The 17,234-nt window shown below is 38.3% G+C and overlaps 1 long non-coding RNA gene across 1 annotated transcript in view; it reads left to right on the top strand.

Moving 5' to 3' along the window:
• Positions 1 to 16,066, top strand: part of LINC02227 (long intergenic non-protein coding RNA 2227) — an 89,091-nt gene extending 73,025 nt beyond the window's left edge. Inside the window, exons 6-7 of the long non-coding RNA NR_109888.1 lie at positions 10,545 to 10,689; positions 13,114 to 16,066. This is a non-coding gene — a long non-coding RNA (long intergenic non-protein coding RNA 2227). The remainder of the gene's footprint in view (positions 1 to 10,544; positions 10,690 to 13,113) is intronic.
• The last annotated feature ends 1,168 nt before the right edge of the window (positions 16,067 to 17,234 follow it).

The following is a 17,234-nucleotide window of genomic DNA, read 5'->3' as shown; positions in this document are numbered from 1 at the left end:
CCCCAGCCCCCCACATTGAAGTGCTGTTGCCACCAGACTGGGAACACCTTGGCCCCTTCAGTGCAGCAGGTACTTACCCTCGAGCAGCCAAACAAACCCATGGGCATGATCCAAGCCCTTTAGGGTTACAACACACAGCTCAGGAGTACTGAGCTGAGATTTGGCCCTCTAAAACCATCCAGAAACAAAGCCAGTCATCTAAACCCAACTTATACTACAGACAAATCCTCCAGAACATCAAAGAGCATAAAGGCAAAAAGCACTACCCAAAGAATAGCAATTTCAAAGATTAAAGGAACATCAGCCCACATAGATGAGAAAGAACCAGTGCAGGAACTTTGGCAACTCTAAAAGTCAGAGTGTCTTCTTACCTCCAAATGATTACACCAGCTCCCAAGTAATGGTTTTTAATCAGACTGTAAAATGACAGAAATAGAATTCAGAATCTGGATGTCAATAAAGATCACTGAGATCCAGGATAATGTTGAAACCCAATTGAAAGAATATAAGAAATCCAGTAAAATAATTCAAGAGCTGAAAGATGAAATATTCATCTTAAGAAAAGGACCAAAGGGGTATGATAGAGCTGAAAAATGAACTGCAAGAATTTCATAATACAATCAGAAGTATTAACAGCAGACTAGACCAAGCTGAGGAAAGAATTTCAGAACTCAAAGACTCTGAGATAGGTCTTTCAAATCAATTCATTCAGACAAAAATAAAGAAAAAAGAATTTTAAAAAATGAACAAAACCTCCAAGAAGTACGGAATTATGTAAAGAGAGCAAATCTATGATTCATTGGTGTCTCTAAAAGAGAGAGGGGGGGCAAGCAAATTTGAGAATATTGTCCACAAAAATTTCCCAAACCTCACTAAGAGAGGTCAACATTCAAATTCAGGAAATTCAGAGAACCCCTGCAAGATACTACACAAGATAACCATCCCCCAGACACATAGTCATCAGATTCTCCAAAGTCAACATGAAAGAAAAAATACCCACGAAGAGAACCCCGTCAGGCTAACAGTGGACCTTTCAGTAGAAACCTAAAAGTCAGAAGAGATTGGGGGCCTATATTCAGCATCCCTTAAAGAAAAGAAATTCCAACGAAGAATTTTATATCCAGCCACACTAAGCTTCATAAGCAAAGGGGAAATAAAATCATTTTCAGACAAGCAATTGCTAAATGGAATTAATTACCATGAAACCTGCCTTACAAGAGGTCCTTAAGGGAGTGCTCAACATGGAAATGAAAGATTGTTACTGGCCACCACAAAAACAAACTTAAGTACAAAGACCATGGACACTATAAAGCAACTACACAATCAGGTCTACATAACAACCAGCTAATAATACAATGGCAAAATCAAATCTGCACATATCAATATTAACCTTGAACATACTTGGGCTAATCACCCCACTTAGAAGGTAAGTCGGATAAAGAAGCAAGACCCAATTGTATGCTGTCTTCAAGAGGCCCATCTCACATGCAATGATACCCATGAGCTCAAAGTAAAGGGATGAAGAAAGATTTATCAAATAAATGGAAAACAAAGAAGAGCAGGGGTTGCTACTCTTATTTCAGGGAAAAAAAACAGACTTTAAGCCAACAACTATCAAAAAGAACAAAGAAGGGAATTACATGATAAAAAGTTCAATTCAACAAGAAGACTTAACTATCCTACATATATATGCACTCAGTACTGGACACCCAGATTCATAAAACAGGTTCTTAGAGAACTAAGAAGAGACTTAAATAACCACACAATAATAGTGGGAGGTTTCAACACTTCACTGACACTATTAGACAGATCATCTAGGCAGAAAACTAGAATTTGGGACCTAAACTCAACACTTGACCAAATAGACCTAACAGACATCTATAGAACACTCCACCCAACAACAGAATATACATTCTTATCTCCCCATGGCACATACTCTAAAATCAGCCACATACTTGCCATAAACAATTCTCAACAAATTCAAGAAAACTTAAATCATACCAACCACACTCTTGGATCACAACATAATAAAAACAGAAATCAATACCAAGAAAATTTCTCACAACCATACAGTTACATGGAAATTAAATAACTGACTCCTGAATGACTTTTGAGCAAATGATGAAATTAAGCCAGAAATAAAAAAATTCTTTGAAATTAATGAAAACAAAGATAGAACTTCCAGAATCTGTGGGACACAGATAAAGCAGTGGTAAGAGGAAACTTTATACCACTGAACACCCACGTCAAAAAGTTAGAAAGGTTTTGAATTAACACCCTAACATCACACCTACAGGAACCAGAAGACCAAGAGCAAACCAACCCCAAAGCTAGCAGAAGAAAAGAAATAACCAAAGTCAGAGATGAACTGAACAACGTGGAGTATAAAAAACCATACAAAAGATCAATAAAATAAAAATGTGGTTCTTTGAAAGAATAAATAAGATTGATAGACTGCTGGCTAGACTAACAAAGAAAAAAAAAAGAAAGAAGATTCAAATAAACACAATCGAAAATGGCAAAGGTGAAATTATGACCAATCCCACAGAAATGCAAAAACAAACAAACAAACAAACAAACAAAAAAACCCTCAGAGACTATTATGTGTACTACCCACACAAACTTGAAAACCTAGAAAAAAATGGATAAGTTAATTTCTGGAAATATACAACCTTTCAAGATTGAACCAGGAAGAAACTGAAACCCTGAACAGACCAATAACAGGTTCCAAAATAGTAATAAAAAACTTACCAACCAGAAAAAGCCCTAGACCAGACAGATTCACAGCTGAATTCTATCAAATGTATAAAGAATTGGTATCATTTCTACTGAAACTATTCCAAACAATTAAAAAGGAGTACCTCCTCCCTACCTCATTCTATGATAAGGCCAGCATCATTCTGATACCGAAACCTGACAGAAACACAACAAAAAGAAAAAACTTCACACCAATATCCATGATGAACATAGATGCAAAAATCCTCAACAAAATGCTAGCAAACTGAATCCAGCTACACATCAAAAAACTTATACACCATGATCAGGTAGGATTTATTCCTGGAATGCAAGGTTGATTCAATGTATGCAACATAAACAACATATGCAAATCAATGTGATTTATCATGTAAACACATAAACACTAAAATCAAAAAACATATGATCATCTCAATAGATGCACAAAAAGCTTTTAACAAAATTCAACATCCCTTCATAATAAAAACTCAATAAGTTAAGCCAACCAAAGAAAGATACCTCAAAATAATAAGAGCCATCTGTGACAAACCTACAGCCAACATCATACTGAATGAGCAAAAGCTGGACACGTTCTTCTTGAGAACCAGAACAAGAAAATGATGCCCACTCAAACCACTCCTATTCAATATAGTCCTGAAATCCCTAGCCAGAGTAACCAGGCAAGAGAAAGAAATAAAAGGCATCCAAATAGGGAAAGAGGATGTTTAACTGTCTCTCTTTGTAGATGATATGATTCTATAGCTAGAAAACCCCATAGTCTGCCCAAAGGTTCCTAGATCTGATAAACAACTTCAGCAAAGTTTCAGGATACAAAATTAATGAACAAAAATTAGTGGCATTTCTATATACCAATAACATCCAGACTGAGAACCAAATCAAGAATGCAATTACATTCACCATAGCCACACAAAAAACCAAAATACCTAGTAATACAGCTAGCCAGGGAAGTGAAAGTTCTCTTTAATGAGAATTATAAAACACTGCTGTAAGAAATCAGAGACAACACACATGAAAAAACATTTCATGCTCATAGATAGAATCATATTGTTAAAATGAACATACTACCCAAAGCAATTTACAGATTCAGTGGATTCCTGTCAAACTACAAACAACATTTTCCAAAGAATTAGAAAAAACTATTCTAAAATTTATATGGAACCAAAAAAGAGCCTGAATAGCCAAAGCAATTCTAAGCAAAAAAGAACAAAGCCAGAGTCACATTCCCTGACTTCAAACTATACTACAAGACTACAGTAACCAAAACAGTACAGCACTAGGACAAAAACAGACACATAGACCAATGGAACAGGTTAGAGAACCCAGAAATAAAAACGAACACCTATAACAATCTGACCTTTGACAAAGTCAACCATAACAAGCAATAGGGAAAGGATTTCCTATTCAATAAAGGGTGCTGGGACAAGTGGCTAGCCATATGCAGAAGATTGAAACTAGACCCTCTTCTTTCACCATATACAAAAATCAACTCAAGATAGATGAAAGACTTAAGTGTAAAACCTAAAACTATAAGAAACCTAGAAGAAAACATAAGAAATACCATCCTAGACATAGATTTCATAATGAAGACTCCAAAAAGCAATCACAACAAAAACAAAAATTGACAAGTGGGACCTAATTAAAGACCTTTTGCACAGCAAAAGAAACTATCAGCAGAGTAAACAGACAATCTACACAATGAGAGAAAATATTTGCAAAGCATGTATCCAACAAAGATCTAATATTCAAAATCTATGTGGAACTTACACAAGTCAACAAGTGGAAAACAACCCCACTAAAAAGTAGGCAAAGGACATGAACAGACACTTCTGAAAAGAAGACATACATGTGACCAACAAGTATATGAAAAAATGTTCAACATCACCAATCATTAGAGAAATCCAAATCTAAACCACAATGAGATACCATCTCACACCAGTCAGAATGGCTATTATTAAAAAGTCAAAAACTAACATGGTGAGGTTGCAGAGGAAAGAGAAAGCTTACACACTGTTAGTGGGAATGTAAATTAGTTCAGCCACCGTGGAAAGCAGGTTAGAGATTTCTCAAAGAACTTAAAACAGAACTACCATTCAACCCAGCAATGTACGCTTATGTTTACTGCAGTACCATTCAAACCAGCAATGTACACTTATGTTTACTGTAGTACTATTCACAACAGCAAAGACATGTACTCAACCTAGATGCCCATCAATGGTGGACTGGATAAAGAAAACATGATACATATACATCATGGAATACTATGCAGTCATAAAAAAGAATGAAATTACGTCCTTTGCAGCAATATGGATGCAGCTGGAGGCCATTATCCTAAGAAATTAATGCAGGAACAGAAAACCAAATACTGCATGTTCTCCCTTATAAGTGGCAGCTAAACGCTGAGTATACATGGACACAAAGAAGGATAGACACCAGAGCCTACTTGAAGGGGGAGTATGGGAGGAAGGTGAGAATTGAAAAACTGCATTTATTCTCACTACCTGAGTGACAAAATAATTTGTACACCAACCCCCGTAACACACAATTTACCTATGTTGCAAATATGCACATGCATCCCCTTAACCTTAAATAAAAGTTGGAAGGAAAAAAATGTGGGATGCAATGAAAGCAATGCCTAGAGGCAAATTACAGCAATTCCATATATTAGAAAAGAAGAGAGATCTAAAATCAATAATCTAAATTTCTACCTTAGACACTAGAAAAAAAGATCAAATGAAATATAGAGTAAGCAGAAGAAAAAAATACTATTTAGAGCATAAATCAATGTAATTGCAAACAGAAGAACTACAAAATCTAAAAAAAAATCAAAACCTGGTTCTTTGAAAAGGTCAGTGACAGTTATAAACCTCTGGTCTGGCAAACCAAGAAAACAAGAGAGAAAACACAAATTACTAATATCAGAAATGAAAGAAAGACCATTGGTATTGTTTCCGTGGACATTAAAAGGATAATAAAGGAATATTATTAATAACTATATGCCTTAAATAACTTAGATGAGATGGACCAATTTCTTGAAAGACACCATCTATTAAACTTCCAACGCACCCCAAAAGAAATAGACAATGTGAACAGACTTATCTATGAGAAATTGAATCAATAATTAATAACCTTCCAAAACAGAACACAAAGCCCAGATGTTTTCCCGGTGAATTCCACCAAATATTTATGGCAGAAGTGATACCAATTATTTACAATCTCCTTCAGAAAGTAGAAGCAGATGTAACACTTCCTAACTTGTTTTATGAAGCCAGAACTAGGCTAATACCAAAATAAAGACATTACAAGAATGGAGATTACAAACTGATGTTATGAACATAGATACAAAAATTCTCAACAAAATATTAGCAAATTGAATCCAATAATGTATGAAATAATTATTCACTATGAACAAAAGGGAATTCTTCTAGGTATGCATAGCTGGCTTGGCATTAGAAAGAAATTAGTTTAATCCATACCCTTTACTCAATAGAGTAAAGAAGTCATATGACTATATAAATGAATTCTGAAAAAGCATTTGTCAAAACCCAGCACACGTTCATAATAAAAACTCTCAGCAAGCTAAGAAAAGAGGCAAATTACTCCAACTAAATAAAGAGTATCTATAAAAACTCTATAGCTGTCATCATACATATTATAACTTTCTAGATACTTTCTCCCTAAGAATGGGAACAAAGCAAGGCTATCCCCTCTCATCATTTGTCCTAGTCCATCAGGGCTGCTCTAACAATTGACCTTAGACTGGATAAATTACAAACTACAGAAATTTCATTGCTTAAGGGGTAAACGCTGGGTCCTTACCTGGTAGAAGGGGAAGCAAGCTTCCTTGTACCTCTTTTTTAAAGGCATTAATCCCAATTATGAGAGCAGAGCCCTCATGACCGCATTACCTCCCAAAGTCTCCACCTCTTGATACTATTGCTCTGGGAACTCAGTTTCAACACATGAGTTTTTGAGAGACATACACATTCAGACCATAACACCACTTCTATTCAATATCCCACTAGAAGTCTTAGCTAATGCAATAAGACAAGAAAAGTAAGAGATATACAGATTAGGAAGGAAGAAATACAACTGTCTTGTTTTCACACATGACATGATTGTTTATGTAGAAAATTTAAGAAGAAATCAGCAGAAAACATCCTGGAACTAATAAGTGATCATAGAAAGGTTGCAGGATGCAAGGTTAATACTCAAAGTTAATCACTTTTCTATATAGCAGCAATGAACAATTGGGATTTAAAATAAAATACACAACACTATTTACATTAACACTTCCCCAAAAGTGAAAGTTACGTATAAATATAATAAAAATATGTGCAAGGTCTATATAAAGAAAACTTTAAAACTCTGATGAAGAAAATCAAAGAAAGTCTAAATAAATGGAGAGATAGTCTATATTTGTGTGTAGGAAGACCCAGTATTTTTAAATTGTCAGTTCTTCTCAAGTTGATCTAGAGATTCAACACAATCTCAATAGAATCCTAGCAAGTTATCTTGTAGATGCCAAGAAAGTGATTCTAAAGTTTATACAGGAAATACAAAAGACTCAGAATAGCCAACATAACACTGAAGAAGAACAAGTTTGGGAGGGCTGACACTTCACAAATTTAAGATATACTATAAAATGACAATAATCAAAATAATGTGGTATTGATGAAAGAATAGACCTATAGATCAACAGAGAGCCCAGAAACAGAACCACACAAATATAGCCAACTGATCTTTGAAGAAGGAGCCAAGGAAATTAAATGACAAAAAAAATATATTCTTTTCAACAAATGGTGAAAACAACTGGGCATGTACATACAAAAATAAATAAATCTACACACAGACCTTACACTTTATAAAATTAACTCCAAATGGATCATAGACCTAAATGTAAAATTAAAAACTATAAAACTCCTAGAAGATAACATAGGAGAAAATCTAAGTGACCTTAGGTTTGGCCTTGAGTTTTCAGATAGAACACAAAAGCAAAATCCATGAAAGAAAAAAAAAAAAGGATGTTGGATTTTATTAAAATTTAAAACTTCTTCAAAAGACACTTAAAAAGGAAAAGGTAAGTCATACACTGAGAGAAAATATTTGCAAAACATATCTGATAAAGGAGTTATATCCAAAATATACAAAGAACTCTTGCCAGGCACAGTGGCTCATACCTGTAATCCCAGCACTTTGGGAGGCTGAGGCAGGAGGATCACCTGAGGTCAGGAGTTCAAGACCAGCCTGGCCAACATGGTGAAATCCCATCTCTACTAAAAATACAAAAATTAGCCAGGCATGATGGCAGGCGCCTGCAATCCCAGCTACTCAGAAGGCCAAGGCAGGGGAATCGCTTGAACCTGGGAGGCGGAGGTTGCAGCGAGCCGAGATCGCACCACTGCACTTAAAACTCAACAATATAAAATAACAAACAAACAAATTTAGTGAGCCAAAGATCTGAATAAATGTCTCACCAAAGGATCTATACAGAGGCAAATAAGTATGTGAAAACATACTCCACATCATATGTCATCAGGGAACTGCAAATTACAACAATGAGATACCACTACACACCTATTAGAATGGCTAACCTCCCAAAGACAGACCACACAAAATGCTGACAAAGATGTGGAACAACAGGAACTCACAGTCATCGCTGGCAGGAATGAAAATTGGTACAGTCATTTTGGAAGACAATTTGGCAATTTCTTCCAAAGCAAAACTTAGTCTTATATGATCTAACAATTACACTAGTTAGTATTTATGGAAATGAGTGAAAAGCATATGTCCACATAAAAACCTGCAAATGGATGTTTATAGTAGCTTTATTCATAATTGCCAAAACTTAGAAGCAACTAAGATATCCTTCAATAGGTAAATAGAAATTGGTATATCCATACAATGGAATATTACTCAGTAATACCAAAAAAAAAAATACTAAGCCACAAAAAGTCATGAAGCAGCCTTATATACATGTTATTAATTGAAAGATGCCAGTGTGAAAAGGCTATCTATTGTATGATTCCAACTAGATGATATTTTGGAAAAGGCAAAACCAAAGAGACAGTAAAAAGTTCAGTAGTTGTCAGAGATTTGGAGTGAGGGAGGAAGGGACGAATAGGTGGAACACACAGGAGATTCTTAGGGTAATGAAACTATTCTGTTTGGTACTGCACAAGAATGGATACATGACATTATCCATTTGTCTAAACTCATAAAAGTGTACAGCACACCAGTGATCCCTAATGTAAATTATGACTTCTACTACTGATAATGTATCAATACTGATTTGTCCATTGCAATACATATTTATACTCAAATTTTCCATAAACCAAAAAACTTCCCTAAAAATTGTCTATTAATTTTTTTTAAATAATGAGGAATCTATATATTTATATGGAAAGATCTATCTGATACATGGATAAGAGAAAACAGCAAGGGTAGAACAGTGTAAAAATGTGTTGCTTTTTACATAAGCATGGGGAAAATAAATGTACATTCATATTCGCTTGTTTGTCCTTAAAAAGCATTGGAAGAAAACCTATGGAACTAATAACAGTGGTTACCTGTGGGGCTGACTGTTGAACTGACTGGAGGAGGGAGAGTTATGAAAGAGAGAATATGTGAATCTATGTCATGTGATTGTAGCATTATTTATTTTCTAAATTATATTATTTTAAAAAACAAGCCCCTCAGAAGGTTTGTCTGAGCTCTGGGGAAAGCTGCGCTTGAATGTTCTAGAACTAATATTTTTATTTAACACTCTGAATAACTCTCCAGAATTTACCCTATAGAAATTCTTTCATGTGTGCACAGTGTGTTCAAAGAAACTACAAAGATATTCACTGCAGCATTATTTGTAATAGACAAAATTTTGGAAACATCTCAATATGTATCAACAGTAGAAGTGGTTAAGAGAATAGTGCTATAGACACACTAGGCACTGTGATGCATCAGTTAAAAAGAATAAAGTAACTTTGTATGAGTTGTTGAAAACATCCATGATTTATTGTAAAGAAAAAAAATTAAGTTGCAGAAAAACATGGACAGAAAACTTTTTAACTATAATATGATTTTGTTTGTAAATGTAATAAAGATCCTGAAGGATATATAACAAACTGAAAACAGTGCCCACCTCAGGGGAAGTTATAAGGGTAGGAGGGGAGAGTCCTGCTTTTTACCCTACTTCCTATTGTTTGACTTTTTTTCTTTGCAACTATGATGTATTGCTTTTTATACATGAATCCACACATAAAGATTTTTTAAAACCCAATGGAGTGTTCGTGTCCAGAAGCAGCAGCCATCTCAGGGACTGTTTGTCATTACCTCTATTCATTTCTTTCGGACCAGGAATGGCTAAAGGAACCTCAGTGTTCTCTGTAGCATTGTTAAGAGGGGCACTGAATCTAACTTGCCATACCCTGTAATTGGATCCTTCCAGTAAAGCTGCCTCAATAAAATGTCCCAAGTGCAGCAGCCAAGTGTTTAGGAGGCACATAAGACCCTGGTGGCAGCCTTGGAGGTAGGAGTGGGAGCCTGGGCCTGGGGCCTGGGTCTAAAATGCTGTAGGAGGCATGCATTAAAGTCCTAGCAAGCTTAACTAGCAACAGAGGGGCATGTCTGCATTTTTCATGCAGGCTTAGAGAGACTTGTTTGCAAGGCTTAGGATCCCTGGTGAGCAGTTTTCTGTGGCTTCAGTTACAGCACAATTTCAAAAGTATTAATGCAATGGGACTTTTGTATAACTACATTAGGAAAAGGAAAAAAATTAACTCTGGTTTCTCCAGCAGGCATTCACAACTGCTAATCATGAATATATCTCAAGAAAGAAGTGATTGTCGATAATTATCCCCTAAAGCCCACCTCATGCAATACCAAAAATGATAGGCAGAGAGGGACAGATGACTTCCTCTTTGCTTGGTCTGTAAGCACAATGTAAGTTCCATTCATATGGTCTTTCCTTTTATTGTTTCATCTCCCAGGGGCCTTGAATTCTCTTGTGATCTAAAGAATAAGCTCTCCATCCAGCCATTTTTTTGTTTTAAGGTTTCAAAACCCAAGAGCTGAATCCAGATGTGGCCTTTTAAGTCAAGCCAGCTTCGAGTCACAGACTGTTGGTGCCTAATGCTTGTCTGTCTCAGTTCCCCTCCTTCACACAGGGGGAGTAAAGGTCTTCAGATATGAAATTACATGGAGGTGTCAGTCACAGAGTAGGGACCTGAATTTTGGCCTCCGGAAATTCCATTCCAGATTTCTGAAGCCATGTGTTTATTCATTCTTATCCTCACTCATTTCTTCATTCAACAAATTCTTATTGAGCACCTACTATGTACAGAGAAGGAAAGCATTAGAGTTTAAAGTGCTAATTTTGGAAACAAATTGCCTAGGTTTTCATCCTAGCTCCAATGCTTATTACCTGTGTAACCTTTATCGAGTCACATAACTTCTCTGTATCAGCTTCCCCATATTTAAATGGAAATAATGGTGGAACCTACCTCATAACATTGTTGGGAAGACTAGAGGAGTTAAATTATGGAAGGCACTTAGTATGTGGTATAATGATTGCTACTGTTGTCATATTTTTATCATTATGTACCCAACATTATGCAGTGGATTCGGAATATAATGATGAACAAAACAGACAGGGGCTTACTTTCATAATGTGCATTGACTAGTGGGGAAGAGCTGGGACTTAATCTAATCAGGATGGTCAGACAAGGCTGACCTGAGAAAATGATGCAGTTCTGAAATCTAAAGGGTTAACTAGGCTAAATGGGAAAGGAAAGCTTCTTGAGTGAAGGAAAAAGAATGTGCAAAGGTCCTGAAACAGCTGGAGCATAGTTTTTTATAAAACTGCAATACTATGTGTGTGGCTGGAGCATAGATATCAAAGGTAGGGCAAGATGAGGTTGAGTCCTGTTAAGTGTCACATATCCTAGGGCCTTGCAGACCACTTTAATGGGTCATCATTATCCTAGAAATAATAAGAAGGAATTGGGGGGGCTTTAAGCAGGGAAACACCATGATTAGATTTCATTTTAGAAAGATCTCTCTGGCTGCTAAATAAAGAATCGATTGGAAGAATGTCCTTTCTCAAATATCCAGTGTCTCTCTTTGTTGACAATCATAGTAAATAAAGGGAGGGCATGCATCTAGGGGAAGAAGTCAGTGATTGTCTTCACAGAGAGAGGTGCAGAGAGGTTGGGTGGTGGGAGAAGGCCAGATGGGAGGTAAATTTTGCCTGCTTGCCAACTTAGAGAATTGCACAGCCAGTCTTTCTTCTTTAAATGGTCACCATATTGAATAGCAACAGGAGTAATTTTTTTTTTTAAAGCAAAGGAAACTCATTCTGGACACCTACAGCAAAAAGGGAATTTGTTAGAAGATGTGGAGGCATCCTAGGATCAAAGGGAAGGCTGCAAAACCAGGCTTAAAATGAACAGAGTCCAAGCAACTCCAAATCATTGGTAGAGGAGCCAGTGAAGAAGAAATCTCCACCTGTCTGCTCCTCTTCTTCCCTGCCCATTTGTTTTGGAATGGTTGCTAAGCAACTAAAACCCAACAGGTGTCCACTAGAATATTCATTCATGGAAGCATCTTCCTCTCCTCACACCTAATCATCTCCACAACCTCTCCCAACTGTTCCCAACACATCCCCTCAGACATGACAGTTTTCGCCACTCTTCCAGATTCCCTGCCATCGGATCCGTCTTTGTAAATGATAACATGCAGGGGTGCCTCCACATTCCACCCTTCAGCCATGGGCTCCACTTTGTTTCCAAATTTCTATTTTGCTTTCTGCTTCCTGATGGTAAACACCCATCTGTATTTTGAATTTTTTTAAAGACATTGACAGTAACCTGATCGCTGGCTACGTTCAGGGATATGTGGTAGGGTCAGAGAAAGAGCATTAGGTTTGCACATAGAAAATGAATTCTGGCTTCTGCTCACTAATTATGTGACCCTAAATAAGTCACTTACTCTGAGCCTCAGTGTCCTTATCAATAAAATGGGCATGACAACAACAGTTACTTCACAGATTACAGGACAATCAAAAGAAATTGTGAATGTGAAAACACTTTAAATCAGTGGTTCTCAATACTGGCTGTGCTTCAGAATCTCTTGTTTTGTTTCCTAAAAGACAGATAGCTTTCCCAGACCTACTGAGTCAAAATATCCAAGGGTAAACCTCAGACAGCTATATTTCTAAAAAGTTTCTAAAGTGATTCAAATGTGCAGGCAGAGTTAAAAAAAACATTCTGGATATAACCTTTTGGTTGCACGCTGCTGTCCAGCAACACTGACCCCACTGTGGTCTGGCTACTATGTTCTATCCCTTCTCCCTGCTGTTATTCCTAGGCATCTCCAAACCATCCTCTGCTTAGACTTCCCAGGAAGCCTTCAGTGATTCTAAATCAGACACATCAATGCTCCACTTGAATACCTTCAAGTGCCTCACAGTGTTCTTAGGATGAGGAACAGATGATGACTTGAGGCCCTGCAGGATTTGGTTGTGCCAACCTCTGACCTCAACCCCTCTCGCTCCCTCTTCTCCTTGTGTTCTGACCCACAGTTCTTTCTGGTTCTCCAACACACCAGGTTCCCTTTCCCTGGGGTCCCTTGCACTTGGTGACCCTCCTGTCCAGAATGTTCTGCTCCAGACCTCTGAATGTCTGGATTTTTCTTAACATTGAGCCAGAGGAAGACCTACCAGACCATCCAACCTCAATTACTCCCTCCTCACCTGTCACCCTCCATCCATCACAGCACCTGATTTATTTTCTTTAAGTCACTTACCCTTCTCTGAGATCATTCATGTATTCATTTTCTTATTTCTATCCATTTTTCCTGGCTAGAATGTAAGTTCTGCAAGAGAGGGATATTTCAAATATAGGTGATTGATTTATCTGTAGTGCTAAGATTGCCTGGCACATAGTAGGTGCTTAGTAAATTAATCAGAGCATGAATAAATAAATGCACATTTTGTTATCTAGGGCAAAGGAGACTCATATCTTGCCATCCTCCGATGGTTTAGCCAAGCTATAAAATGACCAGAATTTCTACTTTGATTCACCTTCCAGTTGCTGAATTGTAATTCCTAAAATTCACAGCCAAGCACTATCAGGTGACCACAGACTCCAAAAGGTATCATAAATTGCTTCATATGTGTTCTTCTGGGGCTTAGGCAATGAACTTGATATTTACTGTTTGGCAAAGTCTTTCTGTTTTACTTTGTTGGTAGGTGTAAGTTGATTTTTGCAGCCAAAAACACCTCTTTCTGGCTGGCTTCCCTGTTTTTCCTCCTTTTACTAGCATACCCTGGAGTAGTATAACCAAGCTGAGGTGAGTTATGTGCAGGGAAATGGGCCTTAATGAATAGAAAATCCATGGAATTCATTTGATGTTAGCACATTAACACTCTCTTTGCCAAGTCTTCCAAATTTCAACTTTTCTGCACACAAAAATAAAAATATTGGAGGAAGGTATATCTCTTTTAAGACCATGATCTTGGAAATACATAAGCAATTCCATACCCTTTTTTGTAGTGAAACGTGCTCAAAAGCAGTCAACCATCATCAACAAACCCCAGACTCAAATGTCAACAAGCCCCATTGGCATAATATATTGGCAGGGGCTTGGGCCATGACGTCAGGTATACTAGGTGCTGTGGCTTATTGGCTGTGGATCTGGGGCAAGGAACTTAGCCTTCCTAAGTCTCAGGTTCCTCATCTGTAAATTCAGGGCAATAATAGCACCTGTGTCGTATCATTAACCATTGTTAAGATGAAATAAAATAGATGTCAGGTGCCTAGCTTATTACTAGCATGGAGTAACCATTCTATGCATGTTAGCTGAAAACTAAATAAATTAACTAAATAAGTGTCATTCCCCTCTCCCTCCTTTTTAGATTTCATTTCCCTACCATGCTCTTCCATGCTATGCTCTCCTTCAAGAATGCTGAATGATGGGATCGATTTGGAGAGAAAAATAGGCCCAGTTACAATTGGGGTCCAGCCTGGAGCTATCATTTTCATATCAGAAATTCCCTGATATACTGTAGAACATAGTCTCTCACCCACCAAATAGAGATAATAATATACCCTGCAGGCTGAATATGGAGTCGAATTATTCTCACGAGTCTGTTTCCTGCAAGATCTTTTGCCAGGTCCTGGACATATTACATTAAAAAAGACATGGGCCCACCCCCACGGATCCCACAGACTCACTTCAAATCTCAATTCTGTCTCTGCCTGGCAAAAATGTGAGCCAGTCACTGGGCTTGCTGAGCCTCGGCTTTGTCCTTTAGAAACGGATATCTGGCCTCCTACACCCTCTGTGCTGAATGGGACTTCAATAAGATAAAGCATTTCTAGTGGTCAGAATCCAACTCTGGATAACTGAAGCAGGAAGATATTTTTAGAAGTTTATCGGGTTACTCAAACTACCAACCCAAAGGCTGGAAAACACACAGTATCCAAGGGCCTCACAGCTACTTGCAAAAGGAACGCCTGCAGAGAACGTAGTCACTGCTAGATACCAAGGCCCTCACCACAGAAAGTTGCAGCCACCACCAGGAATAATTGATTCCCTCCAAATTTACATCCTGGCTCACAACCCAAAGGCCCAGAGAGGAACATCCAGTTGTCTGAGCCTAGATCATGAGTCCACTCTCCAGCTGCCAGGGGTTGGGGAGAGGGAAATCGAGACACTGTCAGTTTCCAAAGTGGGAGGTAAGCACTGCCTTCCTCCATCCCCCAGGTTGAAGGATTATGTGGGTGCTGAGCAGTCCCCCAATGCCAAATACCCACTGAAGGATATGAAAGTACTTTGCACGCCACGGATAGCTGTGTCTTTCTGAATCATGCTGACTAGGCAGAGTTCAACCACCTATGAGTAGGGCTAATGAGAACCACAGACCTAAGGAGCACGTTCATTGTGCTTTAAAAGAAAGAAGAATGAATTATCCATACTCAAAAGAGATTTACTGTAAGAGCCCACGGGCATTTCCTAGAAAAATTCCAATAGTTTCATGCTGTTAGGACAAGGCATTTGTGTAACTTCTACAGGGGAAATGGCTTGGTGCTTTATTCACTAATATCAACCTGTCATCTCGTTACTATTGATCAGCACTGGCTGGCCACCGGCATGTTGGGAGGGAGCTGGTTCCTCAAAGGTCGGCCCTGACCTGAAAATCCTCCTGCCCAGTGCCAGGTAGTTTCTGAGAGCTCCAGAAAATTCTCCAGCCAATGCTGTCTTCCCCTATAGCCTCCTCTGCCTCAGAGGGTGAAAAAAAAAAAAAAAAAAAAAAAAAAAAGAGTGACTCCATGTATGAATTGAGAGAGAAAGGTATTTTAAACACTGCTGGGCACTGTCTTAACAGCTGCCTTCACTCGGTAAATATATTTGTTACACGGTGCCAGGAAATTGTGAAGGAGAGAGCAGAAGAGGGAGAAACAATAGCTATCTTTGGAGCCTGAAGTCTTGCTTGGAGTCACTCACCACCCTGGCACCATGCCAAAAGCACGCTTTTCCCCACCATCTCAATCCTCCAATGTACCCCTGCATCCTTTTATAATAAGCAGCCTTGAGTGCTGTCATTTAATACCCATACACAGGGCTCCCCAGAGCTTGGAAACTCTTGCAACTGTCTCCTTGATAGGCATCTAAGAAACAAATGAGGAGAAAGGATGTCTAAAGTCTCCATTAACATTGTTAGGTTAGAAACGTTGACAATAAGTCGATTCTTTTTGACATGACTGTCCTGGTAATGAAGGGACATTTCTACATGACTCTTCCTAATGTAAGATAAGATATGGATGGCCTCTGATTTTTCTGACACATGTCCAGTATATCAAAGGGGTGGGGACTGGTATAAGAAAATGGGTTGTTTCAGTGACACATTAATAGAAGCCCTGGTTGGGAGATGAATGATAATGCTACCTTGGGCTTGAGTGTTCTGGCAGCTCACCTGGGAATGTAAGCTGGAATTCCTAGAAGAGGGGGTTAGAAAACCCAGGGGCCTCCACTTAACACCCAGATGAAGTCCCCTCATTTGCCCATAGAATCATAGAAAATCACAGGGAGGAGGGGAATTACCCATGCTCTAGAATGCTATTTTTCATCTGCCTCTGGCTGGGTTATGGGTGGGAGTAATTAGGTGGGCCTGGTTGTGACCTGTCAAAAAGAATGGATCTGCTGAGATTGGTGGCAGACCCCTTGAGCAGGCAGGAATGAGGCTGTGTGGGAGAGTAGACTAGCCAGGCTGGCCAGGAGGCTAGAGCAGGGAAAGCTGGCCCCCATAATTGGACGAGAATAGAACAGAGACTCCGGAAGCAGAAGTTGAAAGACCAGCAATTTCAGCATCCAGTAATCTTTCTCCAGACACTGAGCCTGCCCCATAGAGCTCCAGGAGTTCTTAGGAGGTCACATTTGGTAAATAAAAACAGAACTAAACAAAACCCAGCCTCTGTGCTCCCAAC

This window comes from Homo sapiens, chromosome 5 (genome assembly GCF_000001405.40).
Source record: "Homo sapiens chromosome 5, GRCh38.p14 Primary Assembly".
Taxonomy (NCBI): domain Eukaryota; kingdom Metazoa; phylum Chordata; class Mammalia; order Primates; family Hominidae; genus Homo; species Homo sapiens.
This window is presented reverse-complemented; position numbering and strand designations above follow the sequence as displayed.